The 24648-nt window shown below is 41.2% G+C and overlaps 3 protein-coding genes across 5 annotated transcripts in view, besides 5 other annotated features; 2 read left to right on the forward strand and 1 right to left on the reverse strand.

Moving 5' to 3' along the window:
* On the reverse strand, nt 13438-17813 carry KLLN (killin, p53 regulated DNA replication inhibitor). The gene has a single exon (NM_001126049.2). It carries the CDS (start codon nt 16765-16767, stop codon nt 16231-16233), a length of 537 nt encoding a protein of 178 aa, NP_001119521.1. The 5' UTR covers nt 16768-17813; the 3' UTR covers nt 13438-16230.
* Nucleotides 16450-16499: an enhancer, noted in NCBI's record as "active region_3714". NCBI's record gives its function as "activates an Ori minimal core promoter by ATAC-STARR-seq in GM12878 lymphoblastoid cells {active_cell/tissue: GM12878}" and the evidence as "EXISTENCE:reporter gene assay evidence [ECO:0000049][PMID:35858748]".
* Nucleotides 16540-16629: an enhancer, noted in NCBI's record as "active region_3715". NCBI's record gives its function as "activates an Ori minimal core promoter by ATAC-STARR-seq in GM12878 lymphoblastoid cells {active_cell/tissue: GM12878}" and the evidence as "EXISTENCE:reporter gene assay evidence [ECO:0000049][PMID:35858748]".
* Nucleotides 16880-17059: an enhancer, noted in NCBI's record as "active region_3716". NCBI's record gives its function as "activates an Ori minimal core promoter by ATAC-STARR-seq in GM12878 lymphoblastoid cells {active_cell/tissue: GM12878}" and the evidence as "EXISTENCE:reporter gene assay evidence [ECO:0000049][PMID:35858748]".
* Nucleotides 17660-17969: a silencer, noted in NCBI's record as "silent region_2585". NCBI's record gives its function as "represses an Ori minimal core promoter by ATAC-STARR-seq in GM12878 lymphoblastoid cells {active_cell/tissue: GM12878}" and the evidence as "EXISTENCE:reporter gene assay evidence [ECO:0000049][PMID:35858748]".
* MLDHR (mitochondrial lactate dehydrogenase regulator) lies at nt 17839-17934 on the forward strand. Its single transcript, NM_001433720.1, has one exon. It carries the CDS (start codon nt 17839-17841, stop codon nt 17932-17934), a length of 96 nt encoding a protein of 31 aa, NP_001420649.1.
* The window catches only part of PTEN (phosphatase and tensin homolog), a 108306-nt gene continuing 101562 nt past the window's right edge, over nt 17905-24648 (forward strand). For 2 of the 3 annotated variants that reach the window (NM_000314.8, NM_001304718.2), the window contains 1 exon segment: nt 17905-18828. In NM_000314.8, the coding sequence (NP_000305.3) occupies nt 18750-18828 (79 nt within the window). In that variant the 5' untranslated portion in view covers nt 17905-18749. 3 annotated transcript variants of the gene reach the window in all.
* Nucleotides 18060-18199: a silencer, noted in NCBI's record as "silent region_2586". NCBI's record gives its function as "represses an Ori minimal core promoter by ATAC-STARR-seq in GM12878 lymphoblastoid cells {active_cell/tissue: GM12878}" and the evidence as "EXISTENCE:reporter gene assay evidence [ECO:0000049][PMID:35858748]".

Here is a 24648-nt window from a genome sequence, read left to right on the forward strand (position 1 = left end):
CTACACATGGTGAGGATCATCAGTATCGGTGTCTTCCACATCCACATTTTGTCCACTGGAAGCTCTTCAGAGTTAGTAACATACACGGAGCTGTCGTCTGCTGTGATATTGAAGCTGTTTTCTGGAATACCTCCTGAAGAACCTGCCTGAGGCTGTTTTACAGTTAACTAAAAAAAAATAAGTAGAAGGAGTACACTCTAAAATAACAATTAAAAGTATGGTATAGTAAATACATAAAGTGGTAACAGTTGTTTATTATCATTATCAAGTATTACATAGTGTACATAATTGAATGTGCTATACTTTTATATGACTGGTAGTGCAGTAAGTTTGCTTGCACCAGCATCACCGCAAACTGTGAGTAATGCATTACTCCATGACGTTAGGATGGCTAGGTTCACAAGGCGATAGGAATTTTTCAGCTCCATTATAATCATGGGACTGCCTTGGTATATGCGGGCTGTTGTTGACAGAAACGTCATTATGTCACGCAAGACTAGATAATGAGGGAATCCTTTTCCTCCTAATTGGTTATTTGAGCTGTTTAATCTCCCTTCCACTCCCAGCAAGTGTAGTCATTAAAATACCTTACATAACTATGGAGCCTTCATGATTAGAACTGCGATATGATGATGTTACATACCCACTCAGGGTTCTCTGCTTCAGGGCCAAAGTTTGGGCAATGTCACACCTATTGTACTTTTTGGATGGGTTTCTCTGTCATGAGAGGAATGGGAAATGAAAGAAGGATGAGCCCAATGTAATTCTGAGAATCAGATTTAACTAGTATCTGATAAAGCTTGCAAAATTTCCATGTTGATAAGTTGATCTAATTTATTTGTTTAACCTGCTGTATAATGTTTTATCATATGAAAATATCACATTTGATTTATCTATATGGAACATTTAGATTCTAATTTTTTGCTGTTTTAAATAATATTTCCATGAATTTCCCTATATGTTTCTGCTTTCAATATATGAAAGTTTTGCTAGAGTAGGGGTCTTTAAACTTTTTTGTTAGCTTATCCCACAAACAATTTGGAAAAACTTTTCCTCTATACACATGGTAGAGTTAGAATTGAACTTTTTTATTCTAAGTTTAAGTAGGTGGAAAGGAAGTAATTTCCTAGTTATGTAACTTTTTTTTTTTTTTTTTTGGAGACAGAGTTTTTGCTCTTGTTGCCCAGGCTGGAGTACGATGGCGCAATCTTGGCTCACTGCAACCTCCACCTCCCGGGTTCATGCGATTCTCTCCTGCCTCAGTCTCCCGAGTAGCTAGGATTACAAACACCCGCCACCACGCCCTGCTAATTTTTTTTTTTTTTGTATTTTTAGTAGAGACAGGGTTTCACCTGTATTTTTAGTAGAGACGGGTTTTCACCATGTTGGCCAGGCTGGTCTCGAACTCCTGACCTCAGGTGATCCACCCGCCTCGGCCTCCCAAAGTGTTGGGAGTACAGGCGTGAGCCACCATGCCTGGCCTATGTAACATTTAAAGTAGAATTCTTAAGTGTATCCAATATTCATAAATACCATAGTAATTTGTTGCCATTGCCCATCAAAACATTAAAAAAACGAACAAGCATTTTTTACAATGGGAAATTTTACATCATTCTTTTTTCTCTTTGAACTTGAATTTTTTTTCCAATTCTGATACAGATTTTTATTTGGATGTAATATATATTATGTGTGAATATCTTTTATTGATGATGACTGTATCATATTTCCATGCAACAAATTTTATAAAAATTTAAATTGTGTTAAATTTTCTGGACCATAATGCTCCTCAGTGTTAAAAATTATTCCAAATTATCATTAATATTTTTGTATAATCAAATAAATACTTTTAAATTTTGATAATTATTAAATATAAAAAAATCAACTGGGCTTAAAAAATTGGTTTATATATCACAAATGAATTTTATATATTCCTAGAAGGAGACAAGTTCAGCATTAGATCATTTATCCCTAGTTTTTGCTTTTATGTTGTAAACATTGAGTAATATTATTCACATAAGTAGATGGTGAGTGAAAGGAAGTGTTTTAGCAGTGTTACTCATTTATTTGAAAGCTTCCCAAATTATATGTCATACATCACTTAGTGATCTTATTTGTAATGATTTTTCAATGAATAGTTTCAATAGGTTCTCCTTCAATTTACCAGAAAAAAAATTAATGTTAAACAGGTTAACTTTTAAAAGGGTTTGTTGGTAAAATTATTCAGCTACTTAGCAGCAATATCATTATTGCAGATGATCTCTTTAGCTCCTTGCAGGTTTTTACACTTTCAGGCAGTACATCGTTTCAGCATTCAGATGGAGAGGGGTATTCTGTTCTCTTTTAAAGTGGGATAAAGGGCACTGTGAAAGGGGAAATGGGGACAAGGAACTACTAGGTCCACTTGACTACACTAGTTCTGAGGCACATCAGATTTAGGAGAAAGTGTATATGGAAGTTATGGAATTGATTCTCTTGAAACTAAGAACCTTATTTCTCCTATTTGAAGACCACTACTCTGATGTTTATACCCAAAAGTGGAATTGCTTGTGTTGGAGTCTCCTAAGCTGTGTAACTGTTTCACTGAAGTCACATCACTGAGGACATTGCTGTGCCTCTCAAGGACTCAGGAACAGTCCCTCTGTCCATATATGTAAGTCATAGCAATCTTCTATATTTGGGAAAAATCCCTTGGTCGCCTTATTTAAATAACTGGTGAGCAATGAGTAGTAATCCATCAGTGTTCTATGAGACACCAAATTTCTTTCTATAATGTGGCTTTTGACAACTTCTGGAAGTATTTTTATTCATGATTCTCACATTTCTTTCTTTAAAGGGCATCATTAGTCTACCATCAACCAAGATGTTATACAAAGACAGCATCGTAATTCATTTACATTGAGTGCCCTAAAGCACAAATGCCTTTAAGGCCTTCTTTACTCTCTATTAATTGCAAAATAAACAGATGTCTACTGGAGAAGGTTATTAGAAATAATTTGTGCAGTTTGGGAGAACTAGGGGTCAGGATTCCTTGACTCAGCTTCTGAAACAAACTCAAGCCCACTAAACCACCAAGGTAACTACATCCAGAAATCTGCAAACCAGAAAATGTTTGCCCTGAATAAGGTAAAGGACAAAAAAGAATAAGGGCAAACATTTTCTGGTTTGCAGATTTCTGGATGTAGTTGCAAAGGACAGTACATTTCAAAAACAGAGTAATGGCCATTCTCAAGCAGGACTCAGTTTAATTCTACTTGAAAAGAGTGAGAACATTTAATGTGCCAAATTCAAGTCATAAGGAAAAGTTGACCAGTTAATAGGACAAATGCCACAACATTGTAAAATAAACAAGATTTGAAATGCAGAAAATCCTATTTTACAATGAACAAGTCTACAAGAACACAAGAATAAAGCACACCTTAATTAAGTCCTCCCTCTTACTTGTTTCAACAGGTGAGGTAGGAAAACAGTGGTCCTATGAGTGGCAGCAGCCAATGGCCTGGGGCTGCACCCTGGGAGCTAGCCAAGACAAAGATGCCATGTCCAGAAAAGAAATTTCAGAAATGACTTATGGCTCAGAGCCATGTATGTAAATGAGGTTATTTTTTTTTTCTCTGAAAATGGTCTGTTTCTATCCATTAGCTTTCTCCCAGTTCCCTGACTTCATAAAATTTATGTTAAGGATTTGAAATATTCCCAGATTAATTTTCAAGTACCATGACTTTACTTAGAGACTTCATTTTTCTTTAGGGTTCCCTGCAATGCAAACCTGTACCTTCTTTAATAAATGTAAATATTTAAGCCACGTGAGGTGGCTCACACCTGTAGTCCCAGCACTTTGGGAAGCTGAAGCAGGTGGATTACTTGAGGTTCAGAGTTCAAGACCAGCCTGGCCAATATGGTGAAGCCCTGTCTCTACTATAAATACAAAAATTAGCCTGGCATAGTGGTGTGTGCCTGTAGTCCCAGCTACTTGGGAGGCTGAGGCAGTAGAATCGCTTGAACCCGGGAGGCAGAGGTTACAGTGAGCCAAGACTGCCCCACTGCACTCCAGTCTGGGCACTCCGTCTCAAAAAAGAAAAAAAAAAAAAGTAGTACATTTAGTACAATTAAGTAACAAAAATCTACAAAAGGGAACTGTTCTATTATATTTAGAAAAGATAAAATTTCCCTCCTAAGCTAGTTCTGACATTAGGTTTTTCTATGGTATTCTTTCTGAAGTTCCTACAAGAGAGAAAAATCTAAATCACAATAGGAGTATTTTTTGAACTTATTCTATTGATCTTAAAACATTGTTTAATAAGAGACTTATAACTGGGCAGGGCCTAGAACTGCTTTATTTTATTATTTAGTGTAACCATGAAATTAAACAGTGGTCTACCATTGGGGACCAAGGTCAGATTCAAAAAGATTTAAATATAAATTAAAGCTACTACACATTTATGTGGTTGAAAAATCAAAAGGTACAAAACAACAGCATCACATATGATATCACTTGTGGCCCTTGCAGTTGTGTAACTTGGCAGTCCTGTATATATCACCTTCCCAGGGGATCTCTCAGCCATATCAGTTTCTTGTATATTAATAAGGGGAATCTTGAAAGATAGAGGTCAAGAGGAGAAAAATAGGGATTGGAAGAAAGAATGGCAAGAGAGGGCAGGAGAAAGGAGAGTGGAACGATGGACGAAAAGGGAAAGACTGAGGCCTTATACAAAGGATTGGCAACTTTCTCCCAGCCCTCTCTTGCAGTTGTCCTTGGTGTGTGTGTGTATATTTGTACATGAATAGAAGAGGAAGAAATGGAAAGCTGGTGGGGGCGGGGGGAAGCCACTTATCTGGGGAAGGATAGTGGTGAGCCCTGGAGAATTTTTAACTTAGTGCATGCATTACTTGAATAAAGTTCCTTGTATTGCCTTTTCTGATATCATTTTTATCTAGACTCATCCAAGAATATGTTAGTATTTTGAGATTTAGCTTTTGGGAAAAAATTCAAAGCTAATAAGCATAAATATTTGTGCAAGAAAGAGAAGCAGATATGCAGACCTCTACCACCTCTTACCAGAGACAAACTAACCTTTCTCCAGCACACATTGGCCTGATGAAATCTAGAATTAAGCTTTCTCTCAGCACTGACCTGCCTCAGACTGCAAAGAGGTTTTCTAACTGGTTTTGAGCCATGATGAAGGTGCTGACTGTAACTGCATGGCAGCATTTTCATTGACTCCAACTCTTCAGCAGGTGGCAGCGTTCTCCTTGCTCCATGTGGGTTTGGTGTTTCCTTCCTTTCAAAAGAGCACGGGCCTCACAGTCCCTTTTCTGTCTGCGGTCCACATGTAACGGCTGCCTCCTTTATATTCTTGTCTGAAAGACACTCTCCCAGTAATCTTAGGAACTAAGGAGGAGAAACAAATTTGCAACATGTGGCTATTCATGTTTTAATGTTTGATCCTTAAGGTATTTAGCGTCATGGGCTAATTTCAAGGCACTTAAGGTTAGAGAGTGAACATCGGGAATCATTCATTCACTTATCCTTGTTTTTCTCCATCCCAAACCCTATTTATCATCTCTATTTAAGCAATCTCCTTGTTTTCTTTGTTCACTCCTTTCCAAGCCTTGAAAATGTCATTAAAAACCATCTCTAGTCAAATTTCTAACTAACTCATTTAGGTTTCTATACAAGCTAGACTTTCTTACCATCTTTATTCACTGATAGGGTATATCAGGGAATTCTCCGGGCTCCAACTGAGGATCCCTCACTGAGTTGCTGTGTAATCTGGGGCATGTAAACCCTTTGCGCCTCAGTTTCTTCATTTGTAAAATGAGATTGGTAAACTAGCGGGTCTATGAAGTTTTTTTCTAGCTCTTATGCACTGGATGATAAAGCAGTCTGCCACTCTCTTGAATGGAAGAAGATGGGGGTACTGTGCTGTCATATGATTATTTTTCGAGGACATTTTCTTTGAGCAGCAAAAGTTATTAAATAGTACAAAGAGTAAAAAATAGATCTGGTCAAGACCATTGATCTGGGGAAGAGAGGGTATTCAGGATAAGATACAGCCTGTCTACCACACATCTCTACTATGTACCATTTATGGCAGATATTCCCATGTATTTCTATTGTCCAGCAAACACCAAACAGACCCTTACGCTTAAATTCTGGAAATTCTTTAGGGTGCTCATTTATTTTAAAATACAATTAGAATCGAGCTTCTTTCCTGGTTATTTAATATTCTCTTGATAATAGACATATATTTTTAGTTTTAATTCTAATGGATGAAATCACCTTTCTACCTTATAAATATAATAATCATTGTAAAGAACCTTTGAACCATATAAAAAACAATAAATAAAAAGAGAAATTTATCTCCCTTGGAAGCCTTCCCTCTCTATCCTGCCCTCAGAGAGAATGTGTTATCTCATCTCTTATTCTTCCAGATAATTTGTATGTATTTATGCAAACACATGTATATATATATGTATTATCACTTTTGTTTTATTTCATTGAATTTTAATGAATCTTTTGGGAAATACATTAGTCCTAGAGTAGAATCATGCTGTAAAATAGATGAGTAAGCACATTAACAAACTAGAAGATTAAGGAGCAAAATAGAAAACAACTGAAAACATTCAGTTGCTAATCAAATTGTCAGCTGATAGGATTCTTAAATGACAGATATTCTAGGCAGAACTGACCTGAGAGAAGGACTACGTAAAATGGTCTGTTTTGGGGGGTTATTTATAGGGGATAGGACTAGGGTCATTGTGGAAGATGGCCACCAACAATTCCTCCATGCCTCTACACGCATGCCACCCTTCCCACCAAAAGGAGATGGAGTCTGTTTCCCCTCCCTTGAATCTTTTTTCAGCTTCCCCAGTAGCTAGAACTACAGGCACATGCCACCATGCCCAGCTAATTATTATTTTTTTGTAGAGACTGGGGTCTTGCTATGTTGTCCTGGCCTCAGGCAATTCTTCCCTCTCAGCCTCCCAAAATGCTGGGATTATAGGTATGAGCCACCATGCCTAGCTAATTTGGTTTTTAAATATTTTATTTTAAAAGAATTTTTTTTTTGAGGCAGAGTCTCGCTCTGTTGCCCAGGCTAGAGTGCAGTGGTGCGATTTCGGCTCACTGCAACCTCTACCTCCCGAGTTCAAGCGATTCTCCTGCTCCACCCTCCCAAATAGCTAGGATTACAAGCATGCGCCACCACTCCCAGCTAATTTTTGTATTTTTATTAGAGATGGGGTTTCACCATATTGGCCAGTCTGGTCTCAAACCCCTGACCTCAAGTGATCCGCCTGCCTTGGCCTCCCAAAGTGCTGGGATTACAAGTGTGGGCCATCGTGTGTGGCCTGGAAAAAATTCTAGACTTAGAAAAAAGTTGCAAAAATGGTATGGATTTTTTTTTTTTTTTTTTTTTTTGACACAGGGTTTCACTGTCACCAGGCTGGAGTATAGTGGTGCGATCACTGCTCACTGCAACTTTGACCTCCTGGGGCTCAGGTGATCTTCCCACCTCAGCCTCCCAAGTAGCTGGGACTATAGGCACACACCACCATGCCCAGCTAATTTTTGTATTTTTTGTAGAGACATGGTTTTTCCATTTTGCCCAGGCTGGTCTCAACCTCCTGAGCTCAAGCAATCTACCCACCTGGCCTCCCAAAGTGCTAAGATGACAGGAGTGAGCCACCATGCCTGGCCTGGTGTGGAGTTTACGTATACTTGTTATCCAGCAGCCCTAGTATTGATAACTTTTTTTTTTTTTAAAGAGATGGGGGTCTTGGCCAGGCACAGTGGCTCACGCCTATAATCCCAGCACTTTGGGAGGCCGAGGTGGGCGGATTGCGTGAGGCTAGGAGTTCAAGACCAGCCTGGCCAACATGGCAAAACCCCATCTCTACTAAAAATACAAAAATTAGCTGTGCGTGGTGGCATGCGCCCATAATCCCAGCTACTTGGGAGGCCAAGGTAAGAGAATCGCTTGAACCAGGAGGTGAAGGTTGCCGTGAGCCGAGATTGCACCACTGCACTCCAACCTGGCTGACAGAGTGAGATTCTGCCTCAAAAAAAAAAAAAAAAAAAATTCCCTGCTTTCAAGAGACGGGGTCTCACTATGTTGCCCAGGTTGGTCTCGAACTCCTGGGTTCAAGCCATCCTCCCACTTCAGCCTCCTAAAGTGTCAGAATTACAGGCATGAGCCACTGTTCCTGGCCAATAACTTATTAATAGCCACAGAACGATTATCAAAACCAGGAAATTAGCACAAGGTACGAACCTTATATGAAATTCACTTGTTTTTGTAGTGATGTTCTTTTTCTGTTCCAAGATTTAATCCAGGTTCCCTTACTTGCTCTTAGTTGATATGTCTCCTTAGTCTGGGGAAAAGACTTCTAACAGAGCTGGAAGAGCAGTGAGAAAATTGCTATTGAAGGTTGGAGAAATGGTGTTAGTAGTGGCAAGATGTTTGACAACCCTTGTGGTCAGATGTATGGTAAAACATAGAAGACAGAAAGTGTACCTAATAAACTTGTGGATTTGGCAACATTCAGGCTGAATGTTCAGAGTGACAATTGGCTTCTTTTAGGGATGTACGAAGATACACAAGTGATGTATGATGATAACACAAGAGACAGAGATGTGTTAAAAAAGGAACTATCCCATTTTTAAGCAGAGTCTCTTTATGCCAGAAAGACTCTCAAAGTAAGAAATGGCCTCAAGGGCCTGCCTGTAGAATTGGCCTCAAGTTAAAGATCTTATCGAGACTTGGTGCTAAGACCTCTAAAATATTTAAGATATTGCCTCTCATCTAGACAAAAGGTCTTCTAAGAATCTTAAGTGTTGTCCCACAGTAGTCACCTCTACAGGTCCACAGTAGAGAGAGGTTTTTTAAATTTTTAATTTAAATTTTTAATTTTTTTCAGAGACAGAGTCTCGCTATGTTTCCTAGGCTGGTCTCAAACTGCTGGCCTCAAGCAATCCTCCCACCTTGGCCTCCCAAAGTGCTAGGACTACAGGCAGAGAGGTTTGTTTTTGAAAGAATTATAGATGTTGCTTTGCGGGCAAGAAGTGAACCCCAATAAGAGTCACAAAATTTTAAAGAGAGTTATATGGATAAAATTGCACCAGCTTGGACTAAGGAAGAGACAGTTCAAAATGAAAAAACCTTCCAAGCCCCCAACTTCCTACGGGCAGGAAGCAGGCTGAGAGAGTTATTTAACTGTAAAAGGAAGGAAGGCAGTTTCTTTTCTTTTTTTTTTTTGGTGGTGTTAGTAACTTTTATTGAAGCGGCAGTGTACAGCAGCAGAGGTACTGCTCCTTGCAGAGCAGGCTAACCCACAAGCGATGTGCCCGGCGTAGCTGCTCAAAAGCAGTTCTGCGCTTATATTTATACCTACTTTTTTGTTTTTGTTTTTGTTTTTTTATTATACTTTAAGTTCTAGGGTACATGTGCACAATGTGCAGGTTTGTTACATATGTATACATGTGCTGTGTTGGTTTGCTGTACCCATTAACTGGTTATTTATATTAGGTATTTCTCCTAATGCTATCCCTCCCCCATCCCCCCCACGACAGGCCCTGGTGTGTGACATTCCCCGCCGTGTGTCCAAGTGTTCTCATTATTCAATTCCCACCTATGAGTGAGAACATGTGGTGTCTGGTTTTCTATCCTTGTGATAGTTTGCTCAGAATGATGGTTTCTAACTTCATCCATGTCCCTACAAAGGACATGAAGCTCATCCTTTTTTATGGCTGCATAGTATTCCATGGTGTGTACGTGCCACATTTTCTAAATCCAGTCTATCATTGATGGACATTTTATGTTGGTTCCAAGTCTTTGCTATTGTGAATAGTACCTCAATAAACATACGTGTGCATGTGTTTTTATAGTAGCATGATTTATAATCCTTTGGGTATATACCCAGTAATGGGATTGCTGGGTCAAATGGTATTTCTAGTTCCAGATCCTTGAGGAATCGCCACACTGTCTTCCACAATGGTTGAACTAGTTTACAGTCCCACCAACAGTGTAAAAGCTATTCTCCACATCCTCTCCAGCATCTGTTGTTTCCTGATTTTTTAATTATCACCATTCTAACTGGTGTGAGATGGTATCTCATTGTGGTTTTGATTTGCATTTCTCTGACGACCAGCGATGACGAGCATTTTTTCATGTGTCTGTTCACTGCATAAATGTCTATAAATGTCTTCTTTTGGAAAGTGTCTGTTCATATCCTTTGCCCACTTTTTGATGGGGCTGCTTTACTTTTTCTTGTAAATTTGTTTAAGTTCTTTTTAGATTCTGGATATTAGCCCTTTGTCAGATGGGTAGATTGTAAAAATTTTCTCCCATTCTGTAGGTTGTCTGTTCACTCTGATGGTAGTTTCTTTTGCTGTGCAGAAGCTCTTTAGTTTAATTAGATCCCATTTGTCTATTTTGGCTTTTGTTGCCATTGCTTTTGGTGTTTTAGTCATGAAGTCCTTGCCCATGCCTATGTCCTGAATGGTATTGCCTAGGTTTTCTTCTAGGGTTTTTATAGTTTTTATGTCTAACATTTAAGTCTTTAATCCATATTGAATTAATTTTTGTATAAGGTGTAAGGAAAGGATCCAGTTTCAGCTTTCTACATATGGCTAGCCAGTTTTCCCAGCACCATTTATTAAATAGGGAATCTTTTCCCCATTTCTTGTTTTTGTCAGGTTTGTCAAAGATCAGATGGTTGTAGATGTGTGGTGTTATTTCTGAAGCCTCTGTTCAAGGAAGGCAGTTTCTTATGAAAAAGGAAAATTGATTCAGAGTTCCTAGTCTAGACCCCAGAGGGTGGAACTAAGAGCTCTTGAGAACAACGCATTGGGAAACTATTCTGAGGGAGGCCAACCTAGGCACTAATGGAGAACTTGATCCTCAGAGGACCGGTAACAGTGCTTGGCTGGATTTCAGAATTGCTATGGACTAATGACTGCTATATGCCTTCCATTTCCGCCATTTTCAAACAGGCGTGTCTACTGCAGTTATCCTATCCCTTTTTCAGCATTGTATGTTGTGTATGTAACTTCTCTTTTAGTTAACAGGTCTCCAGATGAAGAAAAGCTGCATCTGAAATGCCTCATCCACATCTAGGCCTAGTATAGATTACTAGATCCTGAAGTTTAACACTGATGCTATATAGAATAATAGTTTTGGAGAAAGGGAGTGAGTGTATTCTGCATGTCGTGTGTGTGTGTGTGTGCATGTATGTGCATATGTATACTGTTGTAGCTGGAGGATGGATCATGATAGACTATTTCCCAAATTGACTGGCAACAATTTCTCATCCCAGCTGCTACTTCCATCAAGGAGTATCTTTCCCTTCCTTTTGAATCTGGGCTGTCCTTGTGACTTGCTTGGCCAAGAGAATGCAGTGGAAGTGACATTCTGGGACTTCTGAACCCAGGATTTAAGAGACCCTGTATTTTCTGCTGTCTTCCTCTTGGGATCCAGGCACTGTATAAAGAAGCCTGGGTTGGACCACTGAATAATGAGCAACCACACAAAGAAAGGAGGCTCCTAACCATTTTTAGCTACTCTAGCTGAGGTCCCAGACATGTGGTAAGCTATCTTGGACATTCCAGACCCAGCCAAATTCACAGCTGAATAAAGCACGTCTGACCCTAGCTAATGTCATTGGGGAGCCGACCTGTCCAGCTGTGCCCTTCCCCAATTGCAGAATTGTGAGGAAATAAATGGTGGTAGTTGTTTTGAGCCACTAAGTTTTAAGCGGCCCCCATGGTATCAGTTCAGGTCAGACATGTGCTTTATTCTGCTGTGAGTTTGGCTGGGTCTGGAATGTCCAAGATGGCTTCCCACATGTCTGGGACCTCAGTTAAAGTAGCTAAAATGGTTAGGGACTCCTTTCTTGCTGTGGTTGCTCATCATTCAGTGGTCCAGCCCAAGCTTCTTTACACAGTGCCTGGGTCCCAAGAGGAAGACAACAGAAAGTTTTAAGGTAATTTATTATGCAGCAATAGATAATTGAAAACAATTATCCAGCCAGGTGCAGTGGCTCACACCTGTAATCTCAGCACTTTGGGAGGTGGAGGTGGGCAGATCCCTTCAGGCCAGGAATTCAAGACCAGCCTGGCCAACATGGCGAAACCCCGTCTCTACTAAAAAAACAAAAAATTAGCCAGGCACAGTGGTGCATGCCTGTCATCCCAGCTACTCGGGAGACTGAGGCAGGAGAATTGCTTAAACACCTCGGGAGGCGGAGGTTGCAGTGAGCTGAGATTGTGCTACTGCACTCCAGCCTGGGCAACAGAGCGAGACTGTCTCAAAAACAAAACAAAACAATTATCAAATGTCAGGGTATCTTCCTATTGCTTTACCTTTACTCTGTGGGCTGGGAAGAAGTTGTAACAATGTCAGCCATAGAAGTCAAGTTTTCAATGCAGACTAAATTCCATGACAGTGAACACTATATGCCATAGTAGTCACTGCTCTGTCCATAGAGCTTAGAACAGTATTGCCACTTAATAGGCTCCCAAATATTTGTTGATTGAATCATTAAATAAATGAATTGAGATAAGATCCCCTACCCTCAAGAGGATGGACAAAAAAGATTCTTTAAATGGAGTGTGGAGTCTTAATAAGGGAAAAGAAGTAAAGAAAAAGCAGATAAGCTCTAAGTCTGCCTTTTTTCATGGTCCAGGGCTATTTGTCCCATGCATTTTCTCTTTGAAAAAGGTGCTGTTTTTTGTGATGCCTTAGAGGCCAGAAGGATGTTTTGAAGGGGAAAATTGTAGGAGTTAGGCAGAGCAGGGTTTTGGCTCCTTCTCAATGTCCCTCTACCTAGACAAATTCGGGCTATTCTGCAGAGGTTGCAGTGAGCCATGATCACGTCACTGCACTCCAGCCTGAGGAACAGAGGGAGACTCCGTCTCAAAAAAAAAAAAAAAAAAAAAAAAAAAAAAAATTTCTGCCTACTCTATGAAGCACCTGGTAGGTGTCCCAATATTTTCTGGTATATGGGAATTACCTTTTTCTATTATTGGAAGGTCTAAAAAGCAAACAATGTGCTCCATATGGCTAGAGTTAGTATTAAGGGGACCAAGTAGAATAATTGGTAGCTAGTGTTAGCCTGGAGACTAACATAGTCAAAGCTGTCTTGTCATGTTATGTCTTTTTTATTTGTATTGCTCCACGGTCCAAGACAAAATTTCTGAACGCCACTTGGACACAGTGAGTACCTGGTCTGCTCTATTGTTCTCAGGAGCAACCAACTCAACCCTTATTTCTCTGAGAATGATGATTTCATACAGCACATCTCTCTACCAAGATGTGAAAGATGACACCATGGCATCTGAAATAGCTTCAGGAGAGATTTGGGACATGGGAAGCTTGTAGACAATAATGGAAAATTCTCTTTTAGAATATAGTTACTTGTATGACCCACAGTAGCGCCTTTTGGAGAATGTCTTAAAATTATCTTTATTGAAAGAACAATAATGTTTGTTATTAGGATAAATGAAATAAGGGGAAAACCTCAGACCCTTGGAACAATGGGTTTACATTCAATCCAATGATTATTATGTTTTTATATTCTGTATTATTTAGAAAACAGTAGTTAAACAGACAGAAATACAGAAGATTGTTTAAAAATTAAAGCTATTGAGTTAGATCCCTTTTTGAAAGGTCAGCGTATGGGAGATGAGAAAGGCACTATAGAGATCAGAGTGTTTACACAAAAGACATCTTAGCAGATGACCTACAAAGAGCACATCAAGTATTTATATCATCCACATCAAGTTGCTGGTCATTTCGCTTATCAAAGAAAATAAGAAAGAAATTTTCTTTCGACATTATTTTGGTGTAGTAACAATAGAGTTTTGGAATCAGCTGTTAGAAGCGATAATTAAAGCTAGTTTACCATGCTTACTAATCAATCTACATAGTCACCCTGAAGCTTTATATAATTGTCCCTTTGTTACAAGCTTCTACTTCTCCCTATGGTATTCTGGTTCTGAATCCAGACAGGTAAAGAACTAAGTATGGCCGGGCGCGGTGGCTCACGCCTGTAATCCCAGCACTTTGGGAGGCCGTGGCGGGCAGATCACGAGGTCAGGAGATCGAGACCATCCTGACCAACATGGTGAAACCCTGTCTTTACTAAACTACAAAAAATTAGCCCGGCATGATGGTGTGCGCCTGTAGTCCCAGCTACTCGGGAGGCTGAGGCAGGGGAATTGCTTGAACCTGGGAGGCAGAGGTTGCAGTGAACCGAGATCATGCCACTGCACTCCAGCCTGTGAGACTCCGTCTCAAAAAAAAAAAAAAAAAAAGAAAAAAAAAAAAAGAACTGAAGTGCTTGGAGACCAGTGTATTGTAATATCTATACAGCCAAGCAGGTATTTTCAACTGAACTTTAAAAAAGTACTATTTTTGAAACTTTCTTTAGTTTAGATAGGGCCAGCCATTTGGGTAGAAAGGAAAAGAAAAACAAAAAATTGGAAAAGGATGCATCAGTATTTCTTTCAGAAACAACTTAACACTAGGAACAGAAGGAGGATTTTATTCACCAACTCCTAATAACCACCTGATGTTGCTGTTGGGCTGGCCAAATATCTGCCAACATTGATGATCCTTTCATTCACCACTAGAGAGAAGTAGAGGGACCTGATGTTTAGAGAAGCAGTAAAACCCATTTCCCATTTTCTTTCTTCAGCCGGATGGAAGTACTTGGAGGCTGGTCTCATATTCTAGCACTTTAGTGCTGGTGATGCAGATTATCTCTGCTCCAGAGTAACTCTGTGCCATGGAATCCAAGAGGATTCTGTCGCACCAGGACAGGAATGCACCCTTGTTTCATTTGCTTCCATGAAAGCAGATTTCAGAGATTCTCAGATGCTATGAGACTAATTGTCACTTAGGGTAGGCTCCAGGGGAGGGACAGAGAAGGGCAGTGCTAATAACAGGGACTCTGGAGACAAGATCAGCAATCTAAGAAACAAATGTGAGACATTTTACCCCTCCCTAATCTACTCCCCTTTTAAAAGTTCATCTTCATTTTCCCTTTTTCTACCACGCAGTAATTGATAATTAAACACAGCTCTGGTTTTTACCATGCAATCTAGTAGAACACCTAGACATCAGGAACTCCTTATCTTTGGTTATTTATACAATAATGAAATCTGTAGTTCACGCTAGGCTGTGTGGACAGTATCTGCATCTCTGGAAATCAACTGGAGGCCTTTCTCTTACTCTTTTCCGGTTGCTTTCCATTTCCTTTTCCACTGTGGTCCTTGCCTTTCCCAAGCTGACCAGAACTATGCACAAAACCAGTCTTCAATAAATATCAACACTGAAGCTTCAGCAGGTTGTTAACTCCTGCACAGCTATCTTAAATGCTGTATATAAGTGCAAAGTTTTATGGAGCCTCAGAGGTCTCTAAGAACACTGTAAATATCCCAGGTTTAATTAGTAGTCCCGGAGTTAGGTAATGGCCTGTGGCTTTCTGCGCTAGGTCTCTTGAGGTTTCTAGTCTTCAGAGGTTGCCTGCAACTATGATGTGCACATATACAGTACTCTTTCTCAAATACAGCATAAACCCTCTTTAGACTTTGCTAGGCACTTACAATTATTGAACACACATGCAGATTGATTCTCATTCTCTCAAAGTTTGAAAAACAACTCAGTGCTTCAACCTAGGTCTCGTTAGATATTTTTTGACTCAAATTGTCGTCTGTAGTTCTACTTCCTAAGGGAAATGAAAAAACAATAAATTCCCAGACTGGTGTTGATGCTCATTCTCTTTAAGCGGGTCGACTACTTGCTTTGTAGATCCTTGACGGGTGGGGTGCGGGGTAGGAGTGCGATCCAACTCTCAGCATTTCCGAATCAGCTCTCTCACGGTGACAGGTCAGCCCAATCGGGGCTGTAAACAGACTTGACAGGTTTGTTCTGGGCTGACGGCCATTGACTAGGTTCTCAGACCAGATAAGTCACTTGGCTGAGTCCACAGTAGGTGGGGCGCGCTCACCAGCTCAGGGGTAGTGACTGGACGTTTGTTGCAACATCGGAGAATGCACGCTCTGGGCTGCAGCAGGAGATACCCTCAAGCACAGAACCAAAAGGGTTCACCCTAAGCGGCAGGGCATCAGCGATGGAGAGGCCCGAGAGCCCTAGCGCCCAGCTCCTTTTCCCACGTTTGGGAAGGCGCAGAATAGGTCGATGTAGAGCAAGGAGTGAGTCTCAGGTCTCAGTCCTTTGGCTTGCTCTTAGGGTAGCAGGCGAGGAGTGGCACCAGTTTGGGGACTCTCTCCCCGCGTTCTGTAAGAATCGGCGGCAGCCAGCAGGCGGGGAGGCGGGGGCACGTGTTTGGATGTGGGTGCTTGTGTAACCAGTTCCCCAAGCGCCAGCCCCGACAGCGCTCCTTCGGGAGGCTGGTCCGAGCCCCTGTTTCCGCCGCGGCGCAGGAAGGGTTGGGGTTCCGCTGCCTGCACCAGGCAAGAGCACCCCGAGCAAAGGAAGAAGACGACTTGCCTCCGGAGCTATCACTGGGGAGTGGGAATTTGGAAAGTTCCCCAACTAGGGACACACGTGACCTCCTTCGGAAAGTAGTTCCGACTGTGGCCCGTGTATCCTTCCACCTCCTTTTGAACCCTCCTAGGTCTCCTCGCCCCGCCCACTCGCTGGGCTGCAGCTTCCTACCGTTCCGTACTTTCCACTCAACCCGGTAACCCCAAACGTGCACGGTCCGGCCGGGGCGCGCGGAGCCTGGCCCCGGGCGATCCATCCTGCCGGGTTTTCACGGCGGCCAAGGGGGGGCGGGGCTAGGTGGTCTCTGAGAACCGAGCTTGACTCCGACGCCGCGAACCGACCTGGAGCCCGAGGGGAAAGATGCTCGACTCTCTTGGGGGCACCGGAGCGGGCGCAGGAGAGGCCTGCGGGGTGCGTCCCACTCACAGGGATCCTCTTTCAGTTCATTTAGATAGGTGCCCTTTGGGCCCTTGAAATTCAACGGCTATGTGTTCACGTTCAGCACGCTCGGCTGAGAGCTTTCATTTTTAGGGCAAACGAGCCGAGTTACCGGGGAAGCGAGAGGTGGGGCGCTGCAAGGGAGCCGGATGAGGTGATACACGCTGGCGACACAATAGCAGGTTGCTCTTTGTGCTAAGACTGACACCATGAGGACACAGATTTGGGGGAAGGGGGAATCTCTAGGCAAAGGCTGTTACAGTCAAATCTCTGCGAACGATTGTGATCCGACAGCGGTGCAAAAGGAAAGAGCGAATGCAGTCCACGCCGCGGAAATCTAGGGGTAGAGGCAAGGGGGGAGGGTATTCCCCTTGCAGGGACCGTCCCTGCATTTCCCTCTACACTGAGCAGCGTGGTCACCTGGTCCTTTTCACCTGTGCACAGGTAACCTCAGACTCGAGTCAGTGACACTGCTCAACGCACCCATCTCAGCTTTCATCATCAGTCCTCCACCCCCGCCCCACAACAGCCTACCCTGCCTCCGGCTGGGTTTCTGGGCAGAGGCCGAGGCTTAGCTCGTTATCCTCGCCTCGCGTTGCTGCAAAAGCCGCAGCAAGTGCAGCTGCAGGCTGGCGGCTGGGAACCGGCCCGAGCAAGCCCCAGGCAGCTACACTGGGCATGCTCAGTAGAGCCTGCGGCTTGGGGACTCTGCGCTCGCACCCAGAGCTACCGCTCTGCCCCCTCCTACCGCCCCCTGCCCTGCCCTGCCCTCCCCTCGCCCGGCGCGGTCCCGTCCGCCTCTCGCTCGCCTCCCGCCTCCCCTCGGTCTTCCGAGGCGCCCGGGCTCCCGGCGCGGCGGCGGAGGGGGCGGGCAGGCCGGCGGGCGGTGATGTGGCGGGACTCTTTATGCGCTGCGGCAGGATACGCGCTCGGCGCTGGGACGCGACTGCGCTCAGTTCTCTCCTCTCGGAAGCTGCAGCCATGATGGAAGTTTGAGAGTTGAGCCGCTGTGAGGCGAGGCCGGGCTCAGGCGAGGGAGATGAGAGACGGCGGCGGCCGCGGCCCGGAGCCCCTCTCAGCGCCTGTGAGCAGCCGCGGGGGCAGCGCCCTCGGGGAGCCGGCCGGCCTGCGGCGGCGGCAGCGGCGGCGTTTCTCGCCTCCTCTTCGTCTTTTCTAACCGTGCAGCCTCTTCCTCGGCTTCTCCTGAAAGGGAAGGTGGAAGCCGTGGGCTCGGGCGGGAGCCGGCTGAGGCGCGGCGGCGGCGGCGGCACCTCCCGCTCCTGGAGCGGGGGGGAGAAGCGGCGGCGGCGGCGGCCGCGGCGGCTGCAGCTCCAGGGAGGGGGTCTGAGTCGCCTGTCACCATTTCCAGGGCTGGGAACGCCGGAGAGTTGGTCTCTCCCCTTCTACTGCCTCCAACACGGCGGCGGCGGCGGCTGGCACATCCAGGGACCCGGGCCGGTTTTAAACCTCCCGTGCGCCGCCGCCGCACCCCCCGTGGCCCGGGCTCCGGAGGCCGCCGGCGGAGGCAGCCGTTCGGAGGATTATTCGTCTTCTCCCCATTCCGCTGCCGCCGCTGCCAGGCCTCTGGCTGCTGAGGAGAAGCAGGCCCAGTCGCTGCAACCATCCAGCAGCCGCCGCAGCAGCCATTACCCGGCTGCGGTCCAGAGCCAAGCGGCGGCAGAGCGAGGGGCATCAGCTACCGCCAAGTCCAGAGCCATTTCCATCCTGCAGAAGAAGCCCCGCCACCAGCAGCTTCTGCCATCTCTCTCCTCCTTTTTCTTCAGCCACAGGCTCCCAGACATGACAGCCATCATCAAAGAGATCGTTAGCAGAAACAAAAGGAGATATCAAGAGGATGGATTCGACTTAGACTTGACCTGTATCCATTTCTGCGGCTGCTCCTCTTTACCTTTCTGTCACTCTCTTAGAACGTGGGAGTAGACGGATGCGAAAATGTCCGTAGTTTGGGTGACTATAACATTTAACCCTGGTCAGGTTGCTAGGTCATATATTTTGTGTTTCCTTTCTGTGTATTCAACCTAGGGTGTGTTTGGCTAGACGGAACTCTTGCCTGGTTGCAAGTGTCAAGCCACCGATTGCTTTCTTAGGCTATCTATATGGTCTCTTCCTGAGGGCTATTGTCCGTTAATACAGAATACAGTACACTGTTAGTGGATTAGCGAGCTCGGTAATCCGGTCTCCTAAATGAACAAAAAAGTAGACGCTTTTTGAGGTTGAGCATATTTCGATTAAATCTTGGCTTAGGCCCTAGATCAAGGGTTTAGATCAGAATAAAATGAAAATTAGTGTTGCACGTACGCATATTGCATCAGAATCTTGCAGTGATTGTTTTAGTTTCCTGAGTTGCATTGATAGATTCTTTTAAAATATGACTGATTTGCATAACTTTAGAAGCAGAATCATTTTCAGTATATATGGTGCACATTGAGGGCAAAAAGTAGTTTTGTTAATGTTTAAACTTAAGTTACCTACAACTTTGAACTGTATGTAGAAGTTTTGTAGTTTGAAGTCAATAGTGCCATAATATACCTTATAAGGCGTTCTTACTAGATCTTTGTTATATTTACCTTTTTCTCTCCCTATGGGGTGATGTAGGATAGTGCTTGAAATTTGCACTTCAGTAGCATTTAATGTTCAGTGCTCTTGTCATAAACATAGAATGGATATTGAGTAGTTTCTGATCCCAGATGGTAATGTGTAGGTTCAAGGGTATTGTGTGTAGCAAGTGAAGATTGCAGAAATAAAACTTCAGTTCATGCTTGAAATTTAAGTATTGTTGTGATGCCAGAATTGCTGCTCACCGTTTTTAGGTTTCAGGTCCTCTGACACCTTTTGGTATCGTTAATTTTACTGATTTGTGTAGAATGTCAGTTGTATTTTACCAGCTAATATCTAGAAATGCTGGCAAGAGGGGTTTACTCCAGCTTTAGATTGTAGGTATGTTAGCTTTTTTCATACAGTGTATTAAATTTACTGAGTCAGCTTGCTGAATAAGACAGAAGCCCAAGAATTTTAACAGTGTGTAGCTTTAGTTGTCTAAAAGTTAGGCCTTCGGGCTTCAAAAGTTAGTGGTCATCGAAAAGCATTAATCTTTGCAGTTTCAGGTACAACACATTGGTTTTGATTAGGGATGGGGATGGGGCCCTCTTTTTGCAGAATGGGGAAAGTATTGACAGGAATTGAGAGCTATTGGTAGGCCAGTGTATAAGGTATGTGAAAACAGAATTAAGTTATTGGTCTGAAGTGACTGAAGCATTTAGGCTCTATCAAGGCCTAAAATTTGGTAATATGAGTTTGGTAATGCGAATTGTGGCAGTGGACAATATTTAGTTAAAATTATGTAATTGCATAAGTACTAGCACAGTATTTTTAATAAAAGTTATTTCTTAGCAAATGTCAGTTGCATTTTGTCTAAAGGTAGAGTGACACTACAGTGTCTATATGTCCTGCTAAAAATTGTGGGGAATATTTTTTTTTAAGACAGCGTTTATATCGGGAGAGGTTTTATTCCGTTGGATTATGTTAGCTGCATATAAATGTGCACAGTTAATTTTGCCCAAGTTTTTGTTTTGAAATGAATGTAAAACTTACTGAAGAAGTAGCTTCCCAAAATTTAGTTTTCTGTTAAGCCAAAAATATTATTTTAAAAGAGTATTTGCAAATTTTGAAGTTGACATTAATTGAGAATGTTACTAAGGCTAAACTGGACCCGCTTGCCCAGAAGATAATTATGGAAAAATTCTTTTGTGACTTCCAAAGCAGTCTACTATTAGCATGAATTACTGACAGTCATCCAAATATATAGGAACAAAAAATTAAATGTTTATGTAACTTTGAAAAAAAAGCCTTTGAAGAAAATAATTGAATGCTGTCTGGGAGACAGATTTCTTTCAGCACTTAAAGTACATAACACACTACTTTTACTTTTCCCACTTGATTTTAAATTATCAGGGTTATTAAGACCTTAAAATTATTTTACCAGGTTTTTACATGTGAGCTGTGACATGACTGGCATTTTCTTTGATTTCAGCGTATGTTGGTCTCTACACATGAAATTTGTGTGACTTAAAACTTTCTCTAAAACTGTACTTTTAGTTATGATATGCATAGAAAGCAGTATCAAATATTGCGTCAAATGACTAATAACACTTAATTTCTAGAGTTGTGGTTTTATTGAGCCAAAAGTTGATATGAAAAAAAGTCAGTAAGGAAAGTCAGTGAAGTGCTTGCTTTTTTGATAATTGCACTCCCAATAATTTTGATATTCCAACGTACTTGGTTTGCTTGTTTTCACGTTAATGTTTTCTGTTTATTGGAGTGGGAAGGCATTAAAATTGTCATTGAAGACTTTGTCTTTGACATGTTGTAGTATTTATTTCAGTAACTAACCTGTGAAAAGTTAAATTCCTTTATGAAAGTAGTGATTGGAGTATTTTTATCTGATAAAGAAAGATTAATAATGAAGCCATTTCTCCGAGGAAAATTGAGGACAATAATTCAGTTTTAAAATATTATCGCAAAATTAAATTATTCTAAAAATTTGTTAGTAGGGTTATATGCTTAATATTAGTCTGAAATATAGTGCTGAATTTGAGACTATAGAAAAATTAAGTGTATTTAGGGTATGTGGAAACGTTAGGCTTCTGTTGTATTTTTATTGTTTGGTAGATTTGCCTCTTTTCAAATAAATGTTCACAGGGAATACTTTTAACTTGTAGAGAGTACAGTGACTATTGAAGTTACCTAAATTACCTCAAGGTAAGTGATTACTGAAATTAATCATGAGGGTTTTAAAAAGTATTCTATTCACAACATTTATTTTACATTGTTTTGTATCTGCTAAGTTATATTTCCTGAAAAACATGACTGGACCACCTAATTGCTGTATGATAACTTACAAACTTCATTTTTCATAGTGCTTATTCAAGTGTAAAGCACAACTGAAAGGAGTAATGTACAGTTTATATGAGGAAAAAGGAATTTTATTGCTGCCAGTGTAAAAGTTTGCACAGCAGTATAGTCATCAATGCAGATTTACATTGCTTATAATATACTAAGTAAATACTAAATGATTAAAGATAATAAAATATGGTGAGGTATAACCACCTTCATTTTAAACTTAGTTTTAGAAGATAGTAAAGAAAGATTCCTTTATTACCTTTTTAGAATTTTATTTTTAATAACATGGGAAAGGCAACTGGTGATATTTTAATTTTTGTATGGAACAGTGCATCTGCTTTCTCATAGCCACATAAAATACATAAACTTCTTAGTGTTATGAAATGGCTTACTTTTTGGAAGTGAAGAAGTCTTCAATTCTTATTTTCTAATGTTATTTTGAAATTTGCCTCCATTTGCTGTTTGTTCATTTGGTGATAGCGCAACACTTAAAAAAATATTTTAAGCCGCTTCTGAAGTAATCACTTCAGTGACTTTTAATGGAGGAGTATTTGTTATGGGAAATTCACTTCACAAAGTTTTAACATTAATTCACTTGAAGTAAACGTGCTATTTTTAAATTTTCATCTCAATCTTTTAAGTAAGACGAAAGCTTAGGAAATCACTTTTATTATTGATATTGTGTGTGACTTCAGAGTTTGTAAAGAGAATTGTAGAAGTGTTGCATGCATATGACAATTTTCTGCTTAATTGAAATGTGAGGCCTCTGCCATACTACAAGGATTTAGCTTCCAGAAAATGTAATATTAACATAGCTTAAGAAATGTATTTTTTTTTTTCTGTAGAAACCGTTGGGTTAAACAAACAGTTCAGAAGTTTTATTACATGGAACCCATTAGTTCTTAATCTTGTTACCTTTTTCTTCATTTTTTCTGTTAAACTTGATTTTCACAGTCAGCATTGAAGAATTCATCTTGTGGCCTGAATTCATTAAGAAAAGATGTTAGGATTTGTTCTGAAGATAGTGACTTAGGAAATTTGTGAGACTGGGGTCAGTCAGTTCTGTTTTACAATTGCTTTCTATTTGGTAGCTTTGAAATTAATTTAGTTGCTTATCAGAGAGAATAATGTTGAGGTTAGACTAACCTTAAATTGGTAAGGCTTTGCTGAGCAAACTGATAACTGTAAGTCTTTTATAGGGTGCATTACTGCCACATATACGTTCTTCCATAGGTGGTTAAAAGTATATTGGTCTGTGTTTGGTGATTCTCTTTGTACATATTGAGTATATGCATTCACTAATGTAAAATAATTTGCCAAGAAAGGTGAAATTAGTATATTGTACTTGACTATTCACCTTTCCCTTAGTTTTTTGAATTTTTTTCATTGGTTGCAGAGGAAGTATTAGCAATTTAATTCTTTTAAAATAATTTGCACTGGAATAAATAAGTATCGGCAAATATAAGAAGAGTAACATAATTTAAGGGTGAATTAATTTTATTTGGGAAGTTTTAGTTCTGTATAGTTAAGGCAGATTCTTCATTTGCAACAGTTGACATTGGGACATGTGTGAACATCTTCAAGGTATTAGGACATCTTCAAGGCATTACTTTTTGGCAGTGTTGAGAATTTTTTTTTTTTTTTTTTTTTTTTTGAGATGGAATCTCGCTCTATCGCCCAGTCTGGGGTGCAGTGGCAGGATCTCGGCTCACTGGAACCTCTGCCTCCCAGGTTCAGGCGATTCTCCTGCCTGAACCTCCCAAGCAGCTGGGATTATAGGTGCATGCCACCACGCCCAGATAGTTTTTGTACTTTTAGTAGAGATGGGGTTTTACCACCTTGGCCAGGCTGGTCTCAAACTCCAGACCTCAAGTGATCCGCCTGCCTCGGCCTCCCAAAATGCTGGGATTACAGGCGTGAGCCACTGCGCCTGGCCAGTGTTGAGAATATTGAGAGATGGATATTGTAGCTGTACCTGCCATCAAAAGAATTTTCTTGACCTCCACATAGTGTGAAAAAGAAGACTGTTTACACATTATATTTTAAGTAATTATACACATAATTATTATCAGTACTCACCACTTCAAATATGAACAGTGAATCTAACCAGTGTTTGATTTCTCTGTGTGTGTATGTGTATACAAAGTTAGCAAACCTTTTATCTTAATATTTATTAAAAAACGAATTTTTGTTTCTTTAAAGAAAAGACTACCTTAGAGAATATTGTTCTATAGTTTTTAAATATGGTCAGATCTATTTTAAATTATGTTAAAATTTTGAGTATTACGTTTATCTATACTTTTAAGCATATATACATTGTTTCATTTTAGATTTTAGGGAGGCAGTGTGGGCTCTGGAGCCAGACTGCTTGTTTTGTAATCCTGGATCTTCCATTTAGTAGCTGGATGACTTTGAGTAGGTTATTTAGATTTTCTCAATCTATTTTATCTGTAAAATGGGGATGATAATGGAACCTACCGCATACGTTTATCTTGAATAGTAAGTGAGATAATAATAAGTAATTTCATTTAGCATAGTACCTGCCACATTGTAAATACTTAAATGGTAGCTACTGCTCTGAAAAACTGTAATTTCAGGTTATGTATGTAGGGAAATTATTTGTATTTTCATTTATGGTGTATGATTGTAACTGAATTTCCTCAGTTTGGGCCATGTTAGGATTTTGTTTCAAGTTATAAGTGTTTTTAAAAATAAGGGTATTCCTTTAGGAAGTCTGGGTATGACATGTCTGTGATTTTGCTGGTTCATCACAAATGGG

The sequence above is a fragment of the Homo sapiens genome, chromosome 10, assembly GCF_000001405.40.
Source record: "Homo sapiens chromosome 10, GRCh38.p14 Primary Assembly".
NCBI lineage: Eukaryota > Metazoa > Chordata > Mammalia > Primates > Hominidae > Homo > Homo sapiens.

Coding starts and splice junctions, on each gene's coding strand:
- KLLN (NM_001126049.2), bottom strand. CDS start 16,767: ATGGATCGCCCGGGGCCAGGCTCCGCGCGCCCCGGCCGGACCGTGCAC.
- MLDHR (NM_001433720.1), top strand. CDS start 17,839: ATGTGGCGGGACTCTTTATGCGCTGCGGCAGGATACGCGCTCGGCGCT.